The following is a 22,502-nucleotide window of genomic DNA, read 5'->3' as shown; positions in this document are numbered from 1 at the left end:
CTCAGCCTCCAGAACTGTAAGAAATAAATTTGTTTCCTTTATAAATTACCCAGTTTCAGGTACTCCGTTATAAGCAACAAAAAACAGAATAAGACATCTGACTAATCACATGTTCCCAACATGACTGCGAAGAGTGTCTGGAAGTCTTCTTGTGTGCCTAGATGGAAAGAACCAGAGGTAGTTAGCAGAAGTAAGTGTGCTCCTTCCTGCTTAGCCCAGAACCACCTGAGGGCTAGGAGACACCAGCGGTTGCTTCTCTTTTCTGGGTTATTGATATACCCTGACTATTGCCAAAAAAAAAAAAACTTACTCTTGATGTCTTGCACCAAATGGATATCAGTCAAGTAAAACTGAAAATTGACCCAATAATCTAAATAATAAAGACCAATAATTTTATTCTCTCACTGAAACAAAGAATTGAAGCAAAGTAATAAATCCTTCAATTCCCTGGATTACTACTTAAATTATACACTTATCTTCACTAGTGTAGATCTGGCCTCTCCATATGCCAAAGGATAGTTTACCTCTTCAACTAACCCTCCTGGAACACCTGCTACTGTGTCAAATGCTGGAAACAAAGCTGAATCAGTCGGTACTTTTGGTTCTTTTTGTCAAGAAGAGAAGTTAAAATGAATATACAAATAGCTATAAAAAGGAAGAATATGAGAAGCTCTAGGAGGTCAAATAAAAGAATGGGTGTACAAAACATGCTATTCCAGGCCACATGCCCACAGCTGATTGGAGCAGGAACAGAGACCTAATCCAGAAATTAACTTATGGCCAGGCTAGAAAGGATGGGCAGGACCAATGTGAATTCACTCTTGGCAGTTGAAATTAGAAAACCCAGAGACTGAGTTAATAAAAGGACAAGTTCTGTTGGAGCTGCAGTCATCACTATAGTCCAGCAAGCTGAAGTTAGAAGCCTGGGAGCAAAGGACAGCACAGAAGCTGATAGAGAAGCAGATGCTACAAGAGAGAGATCATGCTTCTCTGTGTCATTCAGCAAACCCTTCCTGGCACTGGTTCCCAGGGGACCAGCTGCCCTGAAGTTTGTGTTCATGGAAGAACATGTCATACAAGTTACAAGCACAGTTCTGGAGACCCTAGTTCATATTTCAGTTTGGCACAACATAGCTGTGCAATGGTGTAAGATATTTAACCTGTCTAAGCCTCTGTCTTCTCAATTGGAAAATGTAGAACACAATTCATACGTTTGTTGCAAAGATGAAAAGAAATAATATATGGAACATAGAAAGCACTAAAGTGCTATTATCAGTGTTACTATTATTTCCATGAGCTCTCACCTCCACAGTCCATGTGTGCCTTTGTAATAACCTACTCTCTCTATTTTTCCTCCTGAAAGAACTGAATGAGTCTTTGTTTCTCATGACACAAAGGTTCCAAATAAGCCTTTTGGTTTTATGTAAAATAGTTTCTGAGAGGGCAAGATTTGAGGCAGATCTGGGATTTTCCTTAAGTCTGAACAATACATTGATAGATTATCTGAAAGATTTCTTCTAGTTCTAACATTTTATGATGCTCAACAAAACTCAGTTAGTGCTTGTTATTTCTGTAGAGTATTCAAAAAATACTTTTTAACAGGGACATATTGAAGACCCAGAAATGTAAAAGTGGTTGTTTATGGATCACCTTCTCATGTACTCATTACTGCACCAAATTACACAGCACTCCATAAGGTAGGCTTGGAAGATATTACTCTCACATCATTCTTCAGATGAGAAAATAGAGCTCACACAGTGCATGTGACTTATCACAGGCTAAAAAGTGGCAAACCATTGGCTCAAAAATCCTGGTTTTCTGACACCTGTATCCATGCTCTTTCTGCTGTTTCCTGCTCTCCTGCTTCCTCTGCCCCAAAACCAGAGTGTTGTATGAGGTTCTCCAGGGCATGGGAATGCAGAAAGAGAGGGGCTGTGGGTGGAAGAGTGGGGCAGGAGGAGGCATACAGGCCTTGGGATGACAACAGTGGACACTAATAATGGGAATTTAATCCACATTTATGAGGCAGGGCGGGTGAGCCTCAAAAGTGGGGCCTAACTTGGGAGGGTTCTTGGCTTCACTCAGGAAAGAATTCAACAGCAAGCTGACAGTGGAGGAAAGTAGGTTTATTGAAGCAGCAGTGTACAGCAGAGTGGCTGCTTTTTCAGGAGCAAGGCTAACCCATAGGCTGTTGGGTAGCTGTATTTATACCCACTTTTTAATTGCAAGGAAATTAAGGAGCAAGTTATCCAGAAACCTTTAGAAAATAGGTGTTAACTTCTGGTGTTGCCATGGCATTTGTAAACTGTCATGGCGCTGGTGGGAGTGTCTTTATTTTTTATTTTTGTGGGTACATAGTGTATATATTTAAGGGGTAAATGAGATACTTTGATACAGACATGCGATGTGTAATAATTACATCATTGTAAATGAGGTATCCATCCCCTCAAACATGTATCCTTTGTGTTACAAACTAATTATACTCTTTATTTTAAAATGTACAATTAAGTTATTATTGACTATAAGGCGGGGGGTAGTGGCTCATCCCTGTAATTCTAGAACTTTGGGAGGCCAAGGCAGGTGGATCTCTTGAGCTCAGGGGTTTTGAGACTAGCTTGGGTAATGGCAAAGCCCTGTCTCTACAAAAAATAAAAATAAAAAACTAGCCAAGTGTGATGGTGTACACCTGTAGTCCCAGCTATTTGGGAGGATCACCTGAGCCCAGAGAGGTCGAGGCTGCGGTGAGCCATGATTGCACCACTGTATTCCAGCCTGGGTGACAGAGTGAGACCCATCTCAAAAAAAAAAATAAAAAATAAAAATAAAAATTATTATTGACTATATATAGTCAGTCTGTTGTGCTATCAAGTACTTGGTCTTATTCGTTCTTTCTGATTACTTTTTATACCCATTTACGATCCCCACTTGTCCCCCAAGCCCTCCACTACCCTTCCAAGCCTTTGGTAAACATCCTTCTACTCTCTACCTCCATGAGTTCAATTGTTCTAATTTTTGACTCCCCCAAATAAGTGAGAACATGCGAAGTTTGCATTTCTACACCTGGCTTATTTTACTTAATGACCTCCAGTTCCATCCATGCTGTTGCAAATAACAGGATCTCATTCTTTTTATGGCCAAATAGTACTGTGTTGTGTATACGGACAACATTTTCTTATCTATTCATCCACTGATGGACACTTAGGTTGCTTCCATATCTTGGCTATTGTGAACAGGGCTGCAACAATCATAGGAGTTCAGATATCTCTTTTATATACTGGTTTCCTTTCTTTTGGGTCTATACCTAGCAGTGGGATTGCTGGATCATATAGTAGCTCTATTTTTAGCTTTTTGAGGAAACTCCAAACTGTTCTCCATAGTGGTTGTACTAATTTACATTCCCACCAACAGTGTACGAGGCTTCCCTTTTCTCCACATCCTCACCAGTATTTGCTTTTGTCTGTCTTTTGGATTTAAGAGATTTTAACTGAAGTGACATGATGTCTCATTATAGTTTTGATGTGCATTTCTCTGATGATCAATGATGTTGACCACCTTTTCATATGCCTGTTTGCCATTTGTGTGTCTTCTTTTAAGAAATGTCTATTCAGATCTTTTGCCCATTTTTAAACATATTTTAGATTTTTTTCCTATAAAGTTGTTTGAACTCCTTATATATTCTGGTCAGATGGGTAGTTTGAAAATATTTTCTCCCATTCTGTGGGTTGTCTCTTCACTTTGTTGATTGTTTACTTTGTCATGCAGAAGCTTTTTAACTTGATGTAATCCCATTTGTCCATTTTTGCTTTGGTTGCCTGTGCTTGTGGGATATTAGTCAAATTTTTGCCCAGACCAATGTCCCAGAGAGTTTCACCAATGTTTTCTTGTAGTAGTTTCACAGTTTGAGGTCGTAAATATAAGTCTTTAACCTACTTTGATTTGATTTATGTATTTGGCAAGAGATAGGAAATAGGAGTCTAGTTTCATTCTGTGTATGGATATCCCATTTTCCCAGCACCATTTATTGAAGAGACTCCTCAGTGTATGTTCTTGGCACCTTTGTTGAAAATGAGTTCACTGTTGGTGTATGGACTTGTTTCTGGGTTCTCTACTCTGTTCCATTGGTCTGTGTGTCTATTTTCATTCCAGCACCATGCTGTTTTGTTACTATAGCTCTGTAGTATGATTTGAAGCCAGGTAATATGAGTGTGAGTGCCGATGAGCAGTGAGGGCAACCAGAGGTTACCTTCAGTGCCATATGCTGGTTCTAGCCAGTTTCCTTATTTCATCCTGTTGGGACCAGGAAATAAGTCCTGCCAGTCTGCTACCTCACTATGAAGGGCCACATGGAAGATGGCAACCATCTTTTCATCTTTCCTTCTTTTGGTTCTCCTTTAACCACAGCAGGAAGGCCTGTTCAACTGTTCCAAGAAATGGTAGCCAGAGAATGGCAGAGAAAGTGAGGAGGGGATACAAGTGGCGATTGTGATCAGCAACTAGGGTGTTAGGAAAAAAACCACAGCAAAAAGGGGATTCGGCTATGGTGTGCTGGTAAACTCCCTCACATTACCTGACTTCAGATCATACTACAGAACTATAGCAACAAAACAGCATGGTACTGGCATAAAACCAGACATATAGACCAATGGAATATGTTTAACTGGCTATCCCACACCAAACACACACACCAAGAGATGTAGTATTTGCCAGTTTCTGTGGTGTAAATACTCCCAGCAAGGGACAAGCTACCAACCTGATTTTCCTGACTGTGCGGTTGTACAACCAGGAAAATTTGTACAGTTGTCCAGTTGCATACCATTTCAGTATTTCCATCTTATAGACAAGAGATGTAGATAAAGACTAAGCATAGATAATAGTAAAATGTAGCACAATGATTAGGAAATTAAGAATTTTGAGCATTTATTAATTTTGTTAAGTATATTTTATTTAATTGTAAGTTTGCATGATTCAATTTTTCATAAAGGCAGTGTTGAACAACAGGCTCACAAAATTTCTGAAAATTTAGAAATACGCTCCTGAGAGCTGGTAAAAGCTGTCTCAGCACACCAGTAGAGTTAGCTGTATGCCTTCAGCCCAAAAATGAGAGGCACATAGCGTATATTCCATTCCCCCTTCCTCTCCAGCCTGTGGGGGGTTAATGAAGTGGCAGTTATGATGACCTGACCCTCTCCTCCCCCAACATGTCCAGGCTACCCTCCTCTGCCCTCCTGAGTCATTATTGAAGGAGGAGGGCAGTTTTTTATTGATCTCTTCCTTCACCTTCAGAGTAAGCTCTGTGATCCAGTATTGAGTACAGCTTCTATAAACACTCGTACCGTGTGTTTATTGTGACACCTGGAATATCATGAAGGCAGCTCCTATTAGACACTGAATGCTAAGATAAACAACCAGTCTTGTCTAGTTGGAACCAAGCAGACCTCGTGAATATAGTCTTATAAATTTTACAACACCCGTGAAATATTGCTCTTGAAGTAGGAACATTACAGAGATGGTTAAACCAGACCCCTAATTCCCTCGAGGACTATTTTTATAGCTATTAATCTCGTATCAGGCACAATTTACAGCCATAATAGCTATTTCTTTGCTGGCATATATGTACATAAACAAACCAGTATGAAAGAGAAGATACAATTAAAGCAATGGATTTCTATGTGCACTTCGGATAGAGAACATAGATGACTCACTTCTCTCAAAAATGATTCTTTTGTATAATTTTGACTTCATTAAATTCTGCAAAGAGAATTTTGAAAACAGCAATCACAAATTCCCCAAAGCCCGAAGTAACTGATACCACAATAAAGAGAGAAAGCATCACACTGGAATGGCTAAGATAAATGTCTGAGAATCCCTTTAAATGCCGGAAGTCATAGCCCACCAGTACTTGTCTGTGGGGACCGGGGGGATTTATGTACTGAAGCTAAATAAAACATAAAACATTATGGTGTATATTTTCTAGCATCTAGACTGTTTGCCCCATATAAAAGTTTATTGATACCTTCAGGGATTCAGATAAATGTTGCAAATTCTCAAGTTCTACTGCTTGTGCTGCAGATACACTTTATTTCAAAGTTACAAGTTTTTTGCAGTATTTGTTTATTGGGTCATAGACTCTCCTATTTCTATTTGGGGACATATGAATATTTCCACAAGCTTCTATATGAGCCAGGTTACATTGAGACCATCATTTAAAAAAATAAGATGTTGTAGTGTCTAGCACCAAGCTTGCAAATACTGACTCTTTAATACGAGTTTCTAGGAGAGAGGAGGGGCCAATGGACAGAATTGGACCTATAGTAGTTCTAGAGAAGACTGGTTAAATGGATTTCTTAGTTTTTATCCATATTTATTCACCCAGAGTCAGGGCTTTTTCTGCTTTGATTACAAATGTAACATCTAAGACCATAGCCACAGAGGCCATGTCTGTGCGTGGATTCATTCTGGAACCATTGGTTCCTTCCAGAAGAAATCATTGCTTCCTTCCAGAAGAAATCATTGCTTCCGTGTTGAGCCATGCTAGAGCTGGTGTATATTTTGAAAGGGAATCAATGAGCTGAGCAGGAGAAACCTTTCTGTTTCCAATCCCCCTGTCTGAACTGTGGCAGTACAGACTGAAGGGGAGGGGGAGGTACTTAGATACTGAGGCGCTTCAGCCTTGCGCATACACCTCCTTCTTTCCTCCTGCCTCTCAACACAGCACAGGTGTCACCTCCGTCTCTCATCTCCAAGATTTCTCCCTCTTCAAAAATCTCATAACATGGTGCCACTAGGATACCCAGTTTATAGACTGATTTCTTAAAGCTGTATATTTTTATCCTGGTGTCTGTTTGCAGAATACCATCAAGTTCAGCCACTCACTAACTGTGTGACTTTGAGCAAGTTTCTTAACCTCTCTGAGCCTTGGTTTTCATTATAAAATGGGGCTGAGAAAACACCTTGGAGGAGTTTTGTGAGGATGACATAGACAATTGGTGTCAAGTGCACAGTGACTGCCATGTGGCTTTCTTTTCATAAAGGTAGTTGTTAAAATAACTGCTGTAATTTTTAACACATTTAAATAGACCTTCATAAACGTGAATTTGCTTGTGAAATCAGTCCCCAGACTAATAGATTATTAGCACCCCAGAAGCCCTTTCCTATCCTTTCTAGCCACTAACTACCTCTCTCCCAAGGAAAACCACTTATGTGATTTCAACATCATGGATTAGTTTTTGAACTGTATGAAAATAAAATCAAATTGCTTGCATGCTGTCTTTCTTCCACTCAGCATTATGTTTGTGAGAGGCGTCCATGCTGTTGCATGCAGTTGTAGTTAGTTCTTTGTCATTGCCGTATAATATTTTATGTTATAATATGCAATTTATCCTTTCTAACTCTACAGGTGTTTGGATTGCATTCAGCTCCTGGGAATTACACCATTCTGCCATGAATACCCTTGTGTATGCATTCTAGGAAACCCGTGTGGTGCATTCTGAGAGGACAGATGGCTGGGTCACTGGGCACACTCTGCCCGAGTAGATGTTCTGTCAACACTTGCCATCAGGAAACATGCCCCACTTCTCATGCCTGAAGCACACCCAGAAGTTATATTGAGCAATTATTTATAAATTGATCCTGATACTGAAAAAAAGGCACATTTGAAAAGCAAAGAGAGAAGCATTTGTAAATTATTTTACCAGAAAATAAAAGTTTTTCTTAATAATAAAATACATTATTTACTCTGGAGCCATTTTAGATGATGATGTAGATTAGAGGTTGGCAAACTATGGCCCTTGGGCCAAAGGTGGCATGCGGGCTGTTTTGTAAATAAAGTTTTATTAGAACACAGACACAACCATTCGTTACACAGTATCTGTGGCTGCATTTACACTACTGTGACAGAGTTGTGTAGTTGCAAGACCATGGGACCCACAAAGTCTAAATTATTTGCTATCCGGCTATTTAAAGAAAAAGTTTGCTGAAACTTGATATAAGAATATTTAAAAAGGTATGAGAAAGATAATTCTGAGCTCTTCCATGCCCTGGGCAATGTCCTCAATTCCATGCATGCTCCTTTATTCTTCACTACAAGGCAGGTACTCACTTTGCTCTCATTTCTCAGTGATTATCTCTAGGTGGTGAGAAATTGTTACTTCGTCCAAAGATTTTATAAATGATCATATATCTTTGACATCATAAAAAAATAAACAAGACCAAAAAAAGTTACAGAAAAAACATATAAAATATGGCAGTTAGACAAAAGGGAGCTGGCCAGCCAAGAAAGTCCGGAAAAATGACAACGAGAGAGGCTCCTGCTGGCAAGGGGCCTCTATCCTTGCTCAGGGGAGAGAGGCCTGGTCCAAGCCACTCTGCAGCTGGCATGCCCTACAGGAAGAGCGGAAAGTCAGGTAGTCATAGATGAGTGACTTCTGCGTGGAGAGTCATCCAAATCCCTTCTGCTCCTCAGACAATAAAAGATCCTAGTTTTAATTTAGTTTCCCCTGTAAATTTGCCTGCAGGGGTAGAATAAACTGAACAGCAAACATCAGAATCCAATCTGCTTGATGGTTTTATTTCTCAATATGGATGAATAAATTGACACTTTGTTTTCTACCAAATCATTGTATATTCTAAATAAGTGCTTTTGTTCTTGTTTAATAGTCAGTGGGACTGGGGCCAACACAGGACATACAGAATGCATATTTCCTTTCCTCTGGTCTAAGCCCTTCACGCGCGCGTGCGTGTGTGTGTGTGCATGTGTGTACTTGTATGCTTAAGAAATGAGATGTTGTTATCATAACTTTATATATAAAACCTGCTATGTACTCTTTTGCCTCCTTTTCTATTGAATCTAAATCTTAAACAATCAGCTTATGTAAAATTTACCTTCTATATTAGGCAGGGTTCTCTAGAGAAACACAATCAATAGGAGATTATCTATGATTGATGATCAATCAATCAATCTATCTATCTGGTTATAGAATACATGTAGATAAAAAATGGCATTCATTATAAGTTATTGGCTCATGAGTTTATGTGGCTGAGAAGTTCCAAGATCTATAGTCGCAAGCCAAATCTCCAGGAAAGCTGATAGGATACTCCCAGTCTGAGTCCAAAGGCCTGAGAGCCAGGAAAGTGGATGGTGTAAGTTCCAGTCTGAAAGCCAGCAGGCTCAAGACCCAAGAAGTGCCAGTGTTTTAAACTAAGTTCAAAGGCTGAAAAAGACCAGTATCCCAGCTCAATCAATTAGACAGGAGGAATTCTCTCTTACTTAGCTGTTTTGTTCTATTCTGGTCTTCAACTTATTGATGGGACCCACCCACATTAGGGAGGGCAATCTGCTTTACTCAGTCTACTGAATCAAATGCTAATCTCATCCAGAAACACCCTCATAGACACATGGGAATAATGGTCAGCCCAATGTCTGGGCACCCCGTGGTCCAGTCAAGTTGATGCATAAAATTAGCCATTATGCCTCTCTAAATTGTACTGTAGCCAGAATATATACTTACTCCAATTGACCACTTCCATTTTGACTGATTAGGCAGGAGTGACAGCCTCAATTTTGTAGTTGGGTTTGTATTCTAAATCTAGGCTGTGGTGATATCACATAACCCTTTTGCCTCTGGAATGTCTTAGATAAATTTTTGCACAGAAAAGAAAAAACAAAAGTTTACTGTTTCTCAAAGCTTATTAGTGAAAATACCTTCTATACTTTTCTGAGGAGGAACATGTGAGCCCAGACATTGACAGGCAACTTCTCGGTCATGCAAATAACTCAGGTCCTTGAGATGGCGTCTTAGGCAGGTTTCCTAGAAGCAGGACCTGAGACAAGGATTCAGGTGCATGTGACTTATTGAGCTTGTGGTATCTGGGGAAGGGATGGGGAAGTAAGATAGGACCGAGGAGGAGGGTGATGGTCTAAATATTCGTGTCCTTCTAAAATTCACATGTTAAAAAAGTAATTGCCAGAGTGATGGTAGCAGGAGGTGGGGCCATCGGAAATGAGATTAGTGCCCTCATAAAATAGCCCCAAGCAAGCTTGTCCACTTCTTCCACCATATGAGGACACAGAGAAGGCACCACCTATGATAAAGTGGGCCCTTACCAGACACTGAGTATGCCAGTACCTTGATCTTGGCTCTCCAAGCCTCCAGACTGTGAGCAATGAATTTCTGTTGTTTATAAACCCCCCAGCCTATGACATTTTATTATAGCAGCCAGAATAGACTATGACAAGGAGTTAAGGAAAGATATAGTCTCAGCAGGAGACTACCAACAGCCTGATCCTACAGGAAGCTCTGGAGCAAGAATTGCACCATAAAATTGGTTCTACTTTGACTAGGGAGATTGGTCTTTTGGAACCTGCTCCTCCATCAGCCTGTCATTCCCTAAAGATGAATGAGGGTGGAATGTAGGAAGGTGTAATCTCCTGGGCTAGGGGTTCCCATTTTTCCATGGCCATTCTTTAGAGAAGGGACAGCTTTCAGCCATTAGCAGGCAACACTCACAGCATTTGAGGGATGGGTGACAGCCAGGAAAGGGATCTGGATGAAGCAGAAATAGCTTCCCCTGCACAGGGGGGAAATGTAACCTATCTGAGCGATTGTGGGTCAGAGTCTCTCTGATAACATCTTGGAGGTCGTATCTTCACTGTCAGGCCTCTGAGCCCAAGACAAGCCATCGCATCCCCTGTGACTTGCACGTATATGCCCAGATGGCCTGAAGTAACTGAAGAATCACAAAAGAAGTGAAAATGCCCTGCCCCACCTTAACTGATGACATTCCAACACAAAAGAAGTGTAAATGGCTGGTCCTTGCCTTAAGTGATGACATTACCTTGTGAAAGTCCTTTTCCTGGCTCATCCTGGCTCAAAAACCACCCTCACTGAGCACCTTGCGACCCCCACTCCTGCCCGCCAGAGAACAAACCCCCTTTGACTGTAATTTTCCTTTACCTACCCAAATCCTATAAAACAGCCCCATCCTTATCTCCCTTCGCTGACTCTCTTTTTGGACTCAGCCTGCCTGCACCCAGGTGAAATAAACAGCCATGTTGCTCACACAAAGCCTGTTTGGTGTCTCTTCACACGGACGCGCATGAAATTTGGTGCTGTGACTCGGATCGGGGGACCTCCCTTGGGAGATCAGTCCCCTGTCCTCCTGTTCTTTGCTCCATGAGAAAGATCCACCTATGACCTCAGGTCCTCAGACCGATCAGCCCAAGGAACATCTCACCAATTTTAAATCAGGTAAGCGGCCTCTTCTTACTCTCTTCTCCAACCTTTCTCATTGTCCCTCAACCACTTTCTCCTTTCCACTCTTCAATCTCTCCCTTCTCTTAATTTCAATTCCTTTCATTTTCTGGGAGAGACAAAGGAGACACGTTTTATCCGTGGACTCAAAACTCTGGTGCCGGTCACGGACTGGGAAGGCAGCCTTCCCTTGGTGTTTAATCATTGCAGGGACGCCTCTCTGATTATACACCCACGTTTCAAGGGTGTCAGACCACTCAGGGAAGCCTGTCTTGGTCCTTCACCCTTAGCTGCAAGTCCCGCTTTTCCGGGAAAGGGGCAAGTACCTCAACCCCTTCTCTCCTTGTCTCTACCCCTTCTCTGCTTTTCTGGGAGAGGGGCAAGTATCCCTCAACCCCTTCTCCTTCACCCTTAGTGGCAAGTCCTGCTTTTCTATGGAGCAAGAACCCCCAATCCCTTATTTCCATGCCCCAACCTCTTATCTCTGTGCCCCAATCCCTTATTTCCACGCCCCAACCTCTTATCTCTGTGCCCTAATCCCTTATTTCTGTGCCCCAACCTCTTATATCTCTGCGCCCCAATCCCTTATTTCCACGCCCCGACCTCTTATCTCTGCGCCCCAACCCCTTTTCCCACTTTTCTGGAAGGTAAGAACCCCCAAACCCCTTCCCTCCATTTCTCTACTCTCTCTTTTCTCTAGGCTTGCTTCCTTCACTATGGGCAACATTCCACCCTCCATTCCTCCTTCTACTCCCTTGGCCTCTGTTCTCAAAAACTTAAAACCTCTTCAACTCACACCTGACCTAAAACCTAAATGCCTTATTTTTTTCTGCAATGCCACTTGACCCCAATACAAACTTGACAGTAGTTCCAAATAGCCAGAAAATGGCACTTTGAATTTTTCCATCCTGCAAAATCTAAATAATTCTTGTCATAAAATAGGCAAACGGTCTGAGGTGCCTGATGTCCAGGCATTCTTTTACACATCAGTCCCTTCCTAGTCTCTGTGCCCAGTGCAACTTGTCCCAAACCTTCCTTCTTTCCCTCCCACCTGTCTCCTCAGTACCAACCCCAAGCATCGCTGAGTCTTTCTAATCTCCCTTTTCTACAGACCTATCTGACCTGTCCCTTCCTCCCCAGGCTGCTCCTCTCCAGGCCGAGCTAGGTCCCAATTCTTCCTCAGCCTCCGCTCCTCCACCCTATAATCTTTTTATCACCTCCCCTCCTCACACCTGCTCCGGCTTACAGTTTCGTTCCGTGACTAGCCCTCCCCCACCTGCCCAGCAATTTACTCTTAAAAAGGTGGCTAGAGCTAAAGGCATAGTCAAGGTTAATGCTCCTTTTTCTTTATCCCAAATCAGATAGCGTTTAGGCTCTTTTTCATCAAATATAAAAACCTAGCCCAGTTCATGGCTCGTTTGGCAGCAACCCTGAGACACTTTACAGCCCTGGACCCTAAAAGGTCAAAAGGCCGTCTTATTCTCAATATACATTTTATTACCCAATCTGCTCCCGACATTAAATAAAACTCCAAAAATTAGAATCTGGCCCTCAAACCCCACAACAGGACTTAATTAACCCACCTTCAAGGTGTACAATAATAGAAAATGTTGCAATTCCTTGCCTCCACTGTGAGACAAACCCCAGCCACATCTCCAGCACACAAGAACTTCCAAACGCCTGAACCGCAGCGGCCAGGCGTTCCTTCAGAACCTCCTCCCACAGGAGCTTGCTACAAGTGCCAGAAATCTGGCCACTGGGCCAAGGAATGCCCGCAGCCCAGGATTCCTCCTAAGCCGCGTCCCATCTATGTGGGACCCCACTGAAAATCGGACTGTTCAACTCACCTGGCAGCCACTCCCAGAGCCCCGGGAACTCTGGCCCAGGGCTCTCTGACTGACTCCTCCTCTTGTATCCCTTAACCCACAAGTATAAGATACCTCTACTCCCTCCTTGGTGACCGATCATGCACCCCTTACCATCTCATTAAAACCTAATCACCCTTACCCCACTCAACGCCAATATCCCATCCCGCAGCACGCTTTAAAAAGATTAAAGCCTGTTATCGCTTGCCTGCTACAGCATGGCCTTTTAAAGCCTATAAACTCTCCTTACAATTCCCCCATTTTACCTGTCCTAAAACCAGACAAGCCTTACAAGTTAGTTCAGGATCTGCACCTTATCAACCAAATTGTTTTGCCTATCCACCCCGTGGTGCCAAACCCATATACTCTCCTATCCTCAATACCTCCCTCCACAGCCCATTATTCTGTTCTGGATCTCAAACATGCTTTCTTTACTATTCCTTTGCACCCTTCATCCCAGCCTCTCTTTGCTTTCACTTAGACTGACCCTGACACCCATCAAGCTCAGCAAATTACCTAGGCTGTACTGCCGCAAAGCTTCACAGACAGCCCCCATTACTTCAATCAAGCCCAAATTTCTTCCTCATCTGTTACCTATCTCGGCATAATTCTCATAAAAACACACGTGCTCTCCCTGCCAATCGTGTCCGACTGATCTCTCAAACCCCAGCACCTTCTACAAAACAACAACTCCTTTCCTTCCTAGGCATGGTTAGGGCGGTCAGAATTCTTACACAAGAGCCGGGACCACACCCTGTAGCCTTTCTGTCCAAACAACTTGAACTTACTGTTTTAGCCTAGCCCTCATGTCTGCGTGCAGCGGCTGCCGCTGCTTTAATACTTTTAGAGGCCCTCAAAATCACAAACTATGCTCAACTCACTCTCTACAGTTCTCATAACTTCCAAAATCTATTTTCTTCCTCACACCTGACACATATACTTTCTGCTTCCCGGCTCCTTCAGCTGTGCTCACTCTTTGTTGAGTCTCCCACAATTACCGTTGTTCCTGGCCCAGACTTCAATCTGGCCTCCCACATTATTCCTGATACCACACCTGACCCCCATGACTGTATCTCTCTGATCCACCTGACATTCACCCCATTTCCCCAAATTTCCTTCTTTCCTGTTCCTCACCCTGATCACGCTTGATTTATTGCTGGCGGTTCCACCAGGCCTAATCGCCACTCACCAGCAAAGGCAGGTTATACTATAGTACAAGCCACTAGCCCGCCTCTTAGAACCTCTCATTTCCTTTCCATCGTGGAAATCTATCCTCAAGGAAATAACTTCTCAGTGTTCCATCTGCTATTCTACTACTCCTCAGGGATTCTTCAGGCCCCCTCCCTTCCCTACACATCAAGCTCGAGGATTTGCCCCCACCCTGGACTGGCAGATTAGCTTTACTCAATATGCCCTGAGTCAGATAACTAAAATACCTCTTAGTCTAGGTAGATACTTTCACTGGATAGGTAGAGGCCTTTCCTACAGGGTCTGAGAAGGCCACAGCAGTCATTTCTTCCCTTCTGTCAGACATAATTCCTCAGTTTAGCCTTCCCACCTCAATACAGTCTGATAACAGACGAGCCTTTATTAGTCAAATCAGCCAAGCAGTTTTTCAGGCTCTTAGTATTCAGTGAAACCTTTATATCCCTTACGGTCCTCCATCTTCAAGAAAAGTAGAACGGACTAAAGGTCTTTTAAAAACACACCTCACCAAGCTCAGCCACCAACTTAAAAAGGACTAGACAATACTTTTACCACTTTCCCTTCTCAGAATTCAGGCCTGTCCTCGGAATGCTACAGGGTACAGCCCATTTAAGCTCCTGTATAGTTGCTCCTTTTTATTAGGCCCCAGTCTCATTCCAGACACCAGACCAACTTAGACTGTGCCCCAAAAAACTTGTCATCCCTACTATCTTCTATCTAGTCATACTCTCCTATTCACCGTTCTCAACTACTCATACATGCCCTGCTCTTGTTTACACTGCCGGTTTACACTGTGTTTCCAAGCCGTCACAGCTGATATCTCCTGGTGCTATCCCCAGACTGCCACTCTTAACTCTTGAAGTAAATAAATAATCTTTGCTGGCAGGACTATGCTGAATCTCTTTAGGCACTCTCTAATCAGATATCCTGAGTCGTCCCAATTCTTAGACCTTTTATACCTATTTTTCTCCTTCTGTTATTCCATTTAGTTTCTCAATTCATCCAAAACCTTATCCAGGCCATCGCCAATCATTCTATACGACAAATGTTTCTTCTAACATCCCCACAATATCACCCCTTACCACAAGACCTCCCTTCAGCTTAATCTCTCCCACTCTAGGTTCCCACGCCGCCCCTAATCCCGCTTGAAGCAGCCCTGAGAAACATCGCCCATTCTCTCTCCATACCACCCCCCAAAAATTTTCGCCACCCCAACACTTCAACACTATTTTGTTTTATTCTTCTTATAAATATAAGAAGGCAGGAATGTCAGGCCTCTGAGCCCAAGACAAGCCATCGCATCCCCTGTGACTTGCACGTATACGCCCAGATGGCCTGAAGTAACTGAAGAATCACAAAAGAAGTGAAAAGGCCCTGCCCCGCCTTAACTGATGACATTCCACCATTGTGATTTGTTCCTGCCCCACCTTAACTGCGTGATTAACCCTGTGAATCTCCTTCTCCTGGCTCAGAAGCTCCCCCACTGAGCACCTTGTGACCCCCGCCCCTGCCCACCAGAGAACAACCCCCTTTGACTGTAATTTTCCTTTACCTACCCAAATCCTATAAAACAGCCCCACCCTTATCTCCCTTCACTGACTCTCTTTTTGGACTCAGCCCGCCTGCACCCAGGTGAAATAAACAGCCATGTTGCTCACACAAAGCCTGTTTGGTGGTCTCTTCACACGGACGCGCATGAAATTCACATATTGTGTTAATCCATTCTTACACTGCTATAAAGAAACCACCTGAGACTGGGTAGTTTAGAAACAAAGGAGATTTGATTGACTCACAGTTCCACATGGCTGGGAAGGCCTCAGGAAACTTACAATCACAGCAGAAGGGGAAGCAGGCACCTTCTTCACAAGGCAGAAGGAGAGAGAGTATGTGCAAAGGAGGAATCGTCAAACACTTATAAAACCATCAAATCTCGTGAGAACTCACTCACTATCACGAGAACAGCAAGAGGGAGCTGCCCCCATGATCCAATCACCTCCCACTAGGTCCCTCCCTTGACACATGGGGAATATGGGGATTAAAGTTTGATATAAGATTTGGGTGGAGACACAGAGCCAAACCACATCACACACTATCATACATTACAAAATAAAGAACAACAACAAAAAAAGTGTTTGGTTTTTAGAATAACTGGAATCTGGATTGTATGTTTATAATTTAAAAAAAAAGTCTTTCAGGAAAGATGTGTGTGTGTGTGTGTGTGTGTGTGTGTGTGTGTAGTGAAAAAAAAATCCTTTCCTCTGCCATATTTAAATTTACTATTATAAAATAAAATGTGTCCCTTGTCAACGTGAGAATTGTAGACATGAGAATTAAAATTGTATCCTAAATCCATTTGGGCATTGATGGCATGTAGGAATTCATTATGAGAACTAACTCTCAATCCACAGTATAAATATAAAGACTCACCCATGGGTAAGTCTGCAATTACATGAGACTCATCTATTTTCTAGGAATTTCATTAATGATATTAACGAAAAATATCAACTTTGGCACTATGTTTGCATTAAAATTTCCTCTTTCTGAACTTGTCTTTGAGCATCATAATTATAAATATGTAGATCTGGTGCTGCCTGATCCATTAGGCATACAGCATGTGGTTATTTAAATAGAAATTAAATAATTAATTATTAATTATTCAAAATGAAATAAAATTAAGAATTGAGATACTCGATCACATAAAACACAATTTCAGTGCTTAGTATTTCTCTGTATCTTGTGACTACCTGATTTATGTGCACTGCAGAAAATTTTTATATTTATGTTCACTGCAGAAAATTCTATTGTTTAATGTTTATACAGACATTCAGAAACCTGAAATGAATAGTCTTTTAAAAGTATAAAATATTTGTAAATAATTGTGCTTCAAATTTCTTATCTTACACATTTTTAGAGTTATCATTGCCATCATTATCGTTGTTAGATTTTTTTTTTTAATGACAGCTATGTAAATAGAAAGGATATGTACTTTGGAGCTGAGTAGCCCTGGGTTCAAATTTACCTACTATCCATCAATTGGGTAAGTCAATTAATATTGCTGAGTCTCAGTTTCCCCTACTGTAAAATGGGGAGAATACTTTGAAATTACTTTGAAAAAGCTTCATGGAAATTAGATACATTAGTGCCTCTAAAAAATCCAGCCTGATGTTTGGCACTTGGTAGTGACCTTATGATAATTATTATGGTTTTCTTTCTTAAAAAAAAAAAAGTTTGCTCTCTGCAGGCATGTTTTCATGAAATTTCTAGCTTACAGCATTAGAATTTCCCCCATTCATTTTGATATATTTGTTAATTATCCCATTTGCACGTGCCTGAAATCATTTTTAAGTTATGTTATTCTCTGGTTTCTCTTCAGACCATATGAATCTTTCGCCTTATAACTGTTTTGACAGTGGCAAATGAGTTGATTTCCTTCTTCATTCTCCTCTTTTTGGTTAAGCTTCTAAGATACGTTACTGAAAAGGAATTAGAAGAAATTAAACTAAACCTAGATTTCAGTATTCAATATGAAAGACAGAGTGGTTATAAATCTGGACCAAAGCCTATTGCTACTGTAGTTAAGAGACTAATCTCTCTCTGCGAAGATCCTTGAGAATCATTTATAGAAGAGCCTTTTGAGATGCTTTGAAACATCAGAAGGAAACTCATCCAAAAATGAGTTGGCTCAGGAGTGCCAATTAGTCCTGCATTTGATCTGTAGCAGATGACAGGCATTTCAGCCTGAAGAGCTACACACAGACCGCTGGGGGTAAGCCCTCTTCCCATCCGGAAAGTTGCCTAAGCCCCACTGAAAGGGCTGATGTTGAGTTCCAGGTTCTGCCTCCTTTGACCAAAACTCACTGAAGGACAATTCCTTAACTCTTAAAGATCCTGTGAGGGTAAGCATAGTTATGAAGAAGACAAAAGGCAGGTCCAACAATACAGCTTTTGGGCAGCTGGCCAGGAATTTAAAAGCTGCGATTTAAATAACTAAACAAAATTCTCCTGGGAGACCAGGAAGCTTAGAAAATACCCGGTCTCACTCTCCATTGACAAAACAGCAAATGTAGACCATGCCATTCCAAGTAAGGCAATTCCAGTCACTTCTGGGTTTTATTTATTTTTAATGTATTAATCTGGGTTTGTCCAGACAGCTGCCTTAGCCCCCAGTTTTGAATTTAAAAATCTACCCATGGATCCTCCAATCCACAACGACCCGATCCTGAATACCTCAAGGAGAAGAGACACGTACAGTCACCATAATTTTTATCCTTTATCTTAAAGAACTTATATTGGTGGATGAATTAGATGACAAATTTGAATAATATATTACTAATTTTTATTATTAATTATTAATATACTATTCACTATATATTATTCAATTATACATCTTTTATCTATTTCTATATATGTACACATATGCATATGTGTGTATTATTTTCTGGACAGTGGGTGTTTTTAGCTTTCATGGACAGTGATTTCCTTTCAGAAGTAGAAAATGCATATTTGGGATTTTCAGGTGGGGAATGCAATGTTCTGTCTCCAAAGCTGGTCCCTAGAGACAGGGAAACCCCCCCCCACAGGCCCTCCCTAACAAGAAAATGACCTCCCACTGAATATAATTTGCAGAGAAGCAGCTAAGCCTGAGCAGCAGGTACAGAGTGGTTCCCAGGCTGCTGCTGCTGTTGCTGATTACAAAAAAAAAAAAAAAAAAAAAAAAAAACACCAAACCATGCCTCTGCACAGATGTGTGACAGCTTTGGAAAGGAGTGCAGCTCCTGCCCACCTGCTGTGCTCCATTTCAGAACGGGGCTTTCATTTAAAAGTCAAAGCCTGGTTAGCTTTTTACCTGTGAACCTTATTGCATCAATTGCCACCCAGATTGCAAGTGTTTTGGTTGCGGGGAGAGAGGAGCCAGGAGAGGCCTCTCCCTTCTCTTCAATGAGGAGAGCTCACCGCTTCAGAATGGCAGGGCAGTCACAGCCCAAGGGCACTTTCTTAAACTGCTCAGCACCCCAGGCTCATAAACAAAAGCCTCTCGGCTAAACCACACAGACAGGAAGCGGAGCCATCATCCCTGCATTTGGCTCTGAGACAAATGACTCAATAAGGGACTCAAGCTATTAGAAAATCACTTGGGCTTAAATGAAAATTCAAATGAGAGAAATGAGGGCGAGATGTTAAAAATGGGTTTTAAAATGAAAAAAACAACTGGGGACCGAGAGAATGAAATAACAGACACAAAGCCCAAAGAGAAACCATATCAAACTGAGGACAGTAGAAATTTGGAGTCGCTGTCCTGGGCATGGTGATATTCGTGTTACAGAACCAATCCGGCATCCACTCGCCCGGTGCAATGAAACCAGGCGCTCACACGGAGGTTTCTGCCGTGATAGGAAGGCATTTACTGTAGGGCATCAAGCAAGGAGAATCAGGGCAGCTCAGGCTTATAGACCCAAACTCCCTAATGGCTTGCAGGTAAGGGTTTTTAAAGGAGGGGTAAATTTCAGGAGAGCTGACACTATTGGCAAAATGATCAATCAACACATTAAAGTTACGCATTGGTTTTGGACTAAAAGTGCGGATATCTTGAAGCACCGGCTTGCAAGGCAGAGGTAGATTTAAAGATCTTCTGATTTGCAATTGATTAAGGAAGAGAAGCTTTGTTTGAAAATTGTGGGTCAGTAGAAAAATGTTAGGGTAGTGACTGTCTCCAAGCCCCTTAGGAAGAACCTTAGAACAAAGAGCCATAGTTAAAGTTTAGTCTTCACTTCCCCCTCATCTGGGGTCTAAGTGCCAGTGGATCAGTCCTGTGGGGGTCCCAGCCTCTGAAAGACAACTCGGGGACATATGTTAAGATGTTATCTTTAATTTCCATAGGGAGAGCAAACATCTCTGGGACTCTAACTTCTTTAGCTATTGTTTTAGGCTACTTTTACCTTCTTGTTTAACAGGTTACTTATTTACTTCTCAGGGCTAGCTAGGTGCCTGGAATTTCCCGGGAAGGAACTCAGGATTTTCCTTTATTTCCATGCTTGGGGTCTGTAGGCCCCTAAAAGAGGGGGTCCCTCCTCTGTCTCACCCAGAGGTTTACAGGGATTGATTGGGTGATACAATTTGCTGGAGAGGGTCAGAGAAAACAAGATTATACTCAAAACAGTTGTATCACCACCTTAGTTATTATTCTCTCTCGTATAAATTATGAACATAGACTGCATTTCCCTGCCTCTAATCTGTCTCTCTCCTCTCTTTTCTTCCTTCTCTCCTACCTTTCTGCCTTCCATCTACTCACTCATAATCCATTCAAAAATATTATTGAGCATCTACTACATATCAGGCATTTTTCTAGACCCTGGAGAAACAGTATTGATTGAAACTCATGGAGCTTACATTTTAGCAGGGGAGACAGACACACACAAGGTAAAGAAATAAACTACATAACATGTAAGGTGATGATAAGTAAAAGGGAGGAGGATGGAATGCAGGATGAGGCAGATTCTAGACAAATAAAAAAAAACAGTGCCCTTTTCCTGCAGGATATAGTTTGGCCTTCATGCTCAGTCAAAGCACCCTTCCTCTAGGGAATGCAATCCACACTTGGACATTCCTTGGCAAGTGGAGCAAGGGCTCCATTCAGAACCTGCTTGCTCCTTGGATCAGGTGCCATGATGCTCTGCAGCCCAGCTATGAAGTGGGGAGTTCATGTGTGTGCCTGTGTGTGTGTGTGTGTGTGTGTGTGTGTGATGCAAAGCTCTATTTACTCCAATACTGATGGCACAGTGTTCAAAAGACCAAAAAACAAACCTGGAGCCAGCAAACAAGACATAAGATTTATTGAGGACTTATACACAGGGTCATCCAGAGGTGGTGGGCTGGACAGGAAAACTGCTACTGTTTATAAAAAGCATGCAGTTTATATAGCATTTTCACTTATCAACCTCTGCCTAGCAGCCTCCATTTCAACCAAAACAAAGGGCCTTGATCCGCTGTACAGCCTGCATTCCAAGGGATGGGCCAGGGGCTAGGATGTTCTTCATAGATAAGGAGTGAATCTCTAGGTTGGCCACTCTTGGATTTCGTAGCTTGGAACTACAAACACACATACGTCTCAGATCAGAGGGTCATTCTTAGGATATGCTTAAGTTATTGCTGTTCAGTGCTTCTGCCATACAGTGTGATTTTACGGAAAGCGGCCAGGGCAGTCCTCCCTAGGGAGGTGACACTTGAGTGAGGACCTGAAGGAGGGAGGTAGCAGTGCTGTGATAGGTGAGGGAAGAGCAGGAAGGGCAAGTGCAACAATATGAGGAGAGAGCCTGGCGATGGGTTGCAGAAAGGGCAGGGGGTCAGGTGGCTATGTGAGCGTGACCAGTGTGGAGGGAGCGAGGAGAGGGCAGTGGGGGGACAGGGTTAAGGGAGGTTGCACAGGGATTAAGGCTGTAGAAAAAACATTAGCCTTCATGACCACAAGGGAGGCATCCTCAGAGGCCTTGGCAATCACACCTAACACATTTTGTCAGGATCTCTCTGGCTGCTGATTTGAGGCTCGGTTAAAGTGGGGCAAAGGTGAATGCATGAGGCCCAGTTAGAAGGCTACTGCATCATCCAAGCAAGAGATGCCCAGTATGGGTCTTATCTAATTCATCTGCAGTCAGCATAATCTTTCTGAAGCCCAGTTTGATATGTTTCTTCTTAGTAAAGAATCCTTCAGTGGCTCCCCAGTGCCCATACAATTGTCAACTGAAAAATGATGAGGTTCATAAATTTAGAAAAGGGAGCTTTATTTCTCATAAAGGGTTGCAGCCTGCAGGTGGCCATTCTGGCAGACTGGGAAATGTAGCCTCTGGCCAGAAGCCAGAAGCCAGAAGCCAGAAATAGGCACTCTGAGGGAGGGGCAAAGGGAAAAAAAAATTATGTTGAATGGAGTGGTCAAATATACATATTCAATAGGCTATGGGAGGGATCATGAATATTCATGAAAAGAGAAACATGCACATGTGCAGTGGAGCTTCAGGCCCCTTCATTCGTCCTATGTACAAATAATGGTGGCGTTAGCATGACCTGGGGTTGAAGGTGTCAGCCCTCTGACATCAAAAGGTAAAGCAGAGGATGTGAAATTCTCTGTAGATTGGTCATAACCACTGGGTGGCTGATGGGCTCTTATTTATTTATTTGTTTATTTTTTTTC

The 22,502-nt window shown here is 42.2% G+C and overlaps 2 annotated features.

Annotated features, from left to right (window-relative positions):
- Positions 10,417-10,989: an enhancer, noted in NCBI's record as "OCT4-NANOG-H3K27ac hESC enhancer chr1:232370405-232370977 (GRCh37/hg19 assembly coordinates)". NCBI's record gives its function as "activates a minimal SCP1, AML or CMV promoter by ChIP-STARR-seq in primed H9 embryonic stem cells {active_cell/tissue: H9 hESC(primed)}" and the evidence as "EXISTENCE:reporter gene assay evidence [ECO:0000049][PMID:30033119]".
- Positions 10,990-11,562: an enhancer, noted in NCBI's record as "OCT4-NANOG-H3K27ac hESC enhancer chr1:232369832-232370404 (GRCh37/hg19 assembly coordinates)". NCBI's record gives its function as "activates a minimal SCP1, AML or CMV promoter by ChIP-STARR-seq in naive H9 embryonic stem cells {active_cell/tissue: H9 hESC(naive)}" and the evidence as "EXISTENCE:reporter gene assay evidence [ECO:0000049][PMID:30033119]".

Source organism: Homo sapiens, chromosome 1, assembly GCF_000001405.40.
Source record: "Homo sapiens chromosome 1, GRCh38.p14 Primary Assembly".
NCBI lineage: Eukaryota > Metazoa > Chordata > Mammalia > Primates > Hominidae > Homo > Homo sapiens.
Note: the sequence above shows the minus strand (reverse complement) of the source record. Positions and strands in the feature narration are given on the sequence as shown.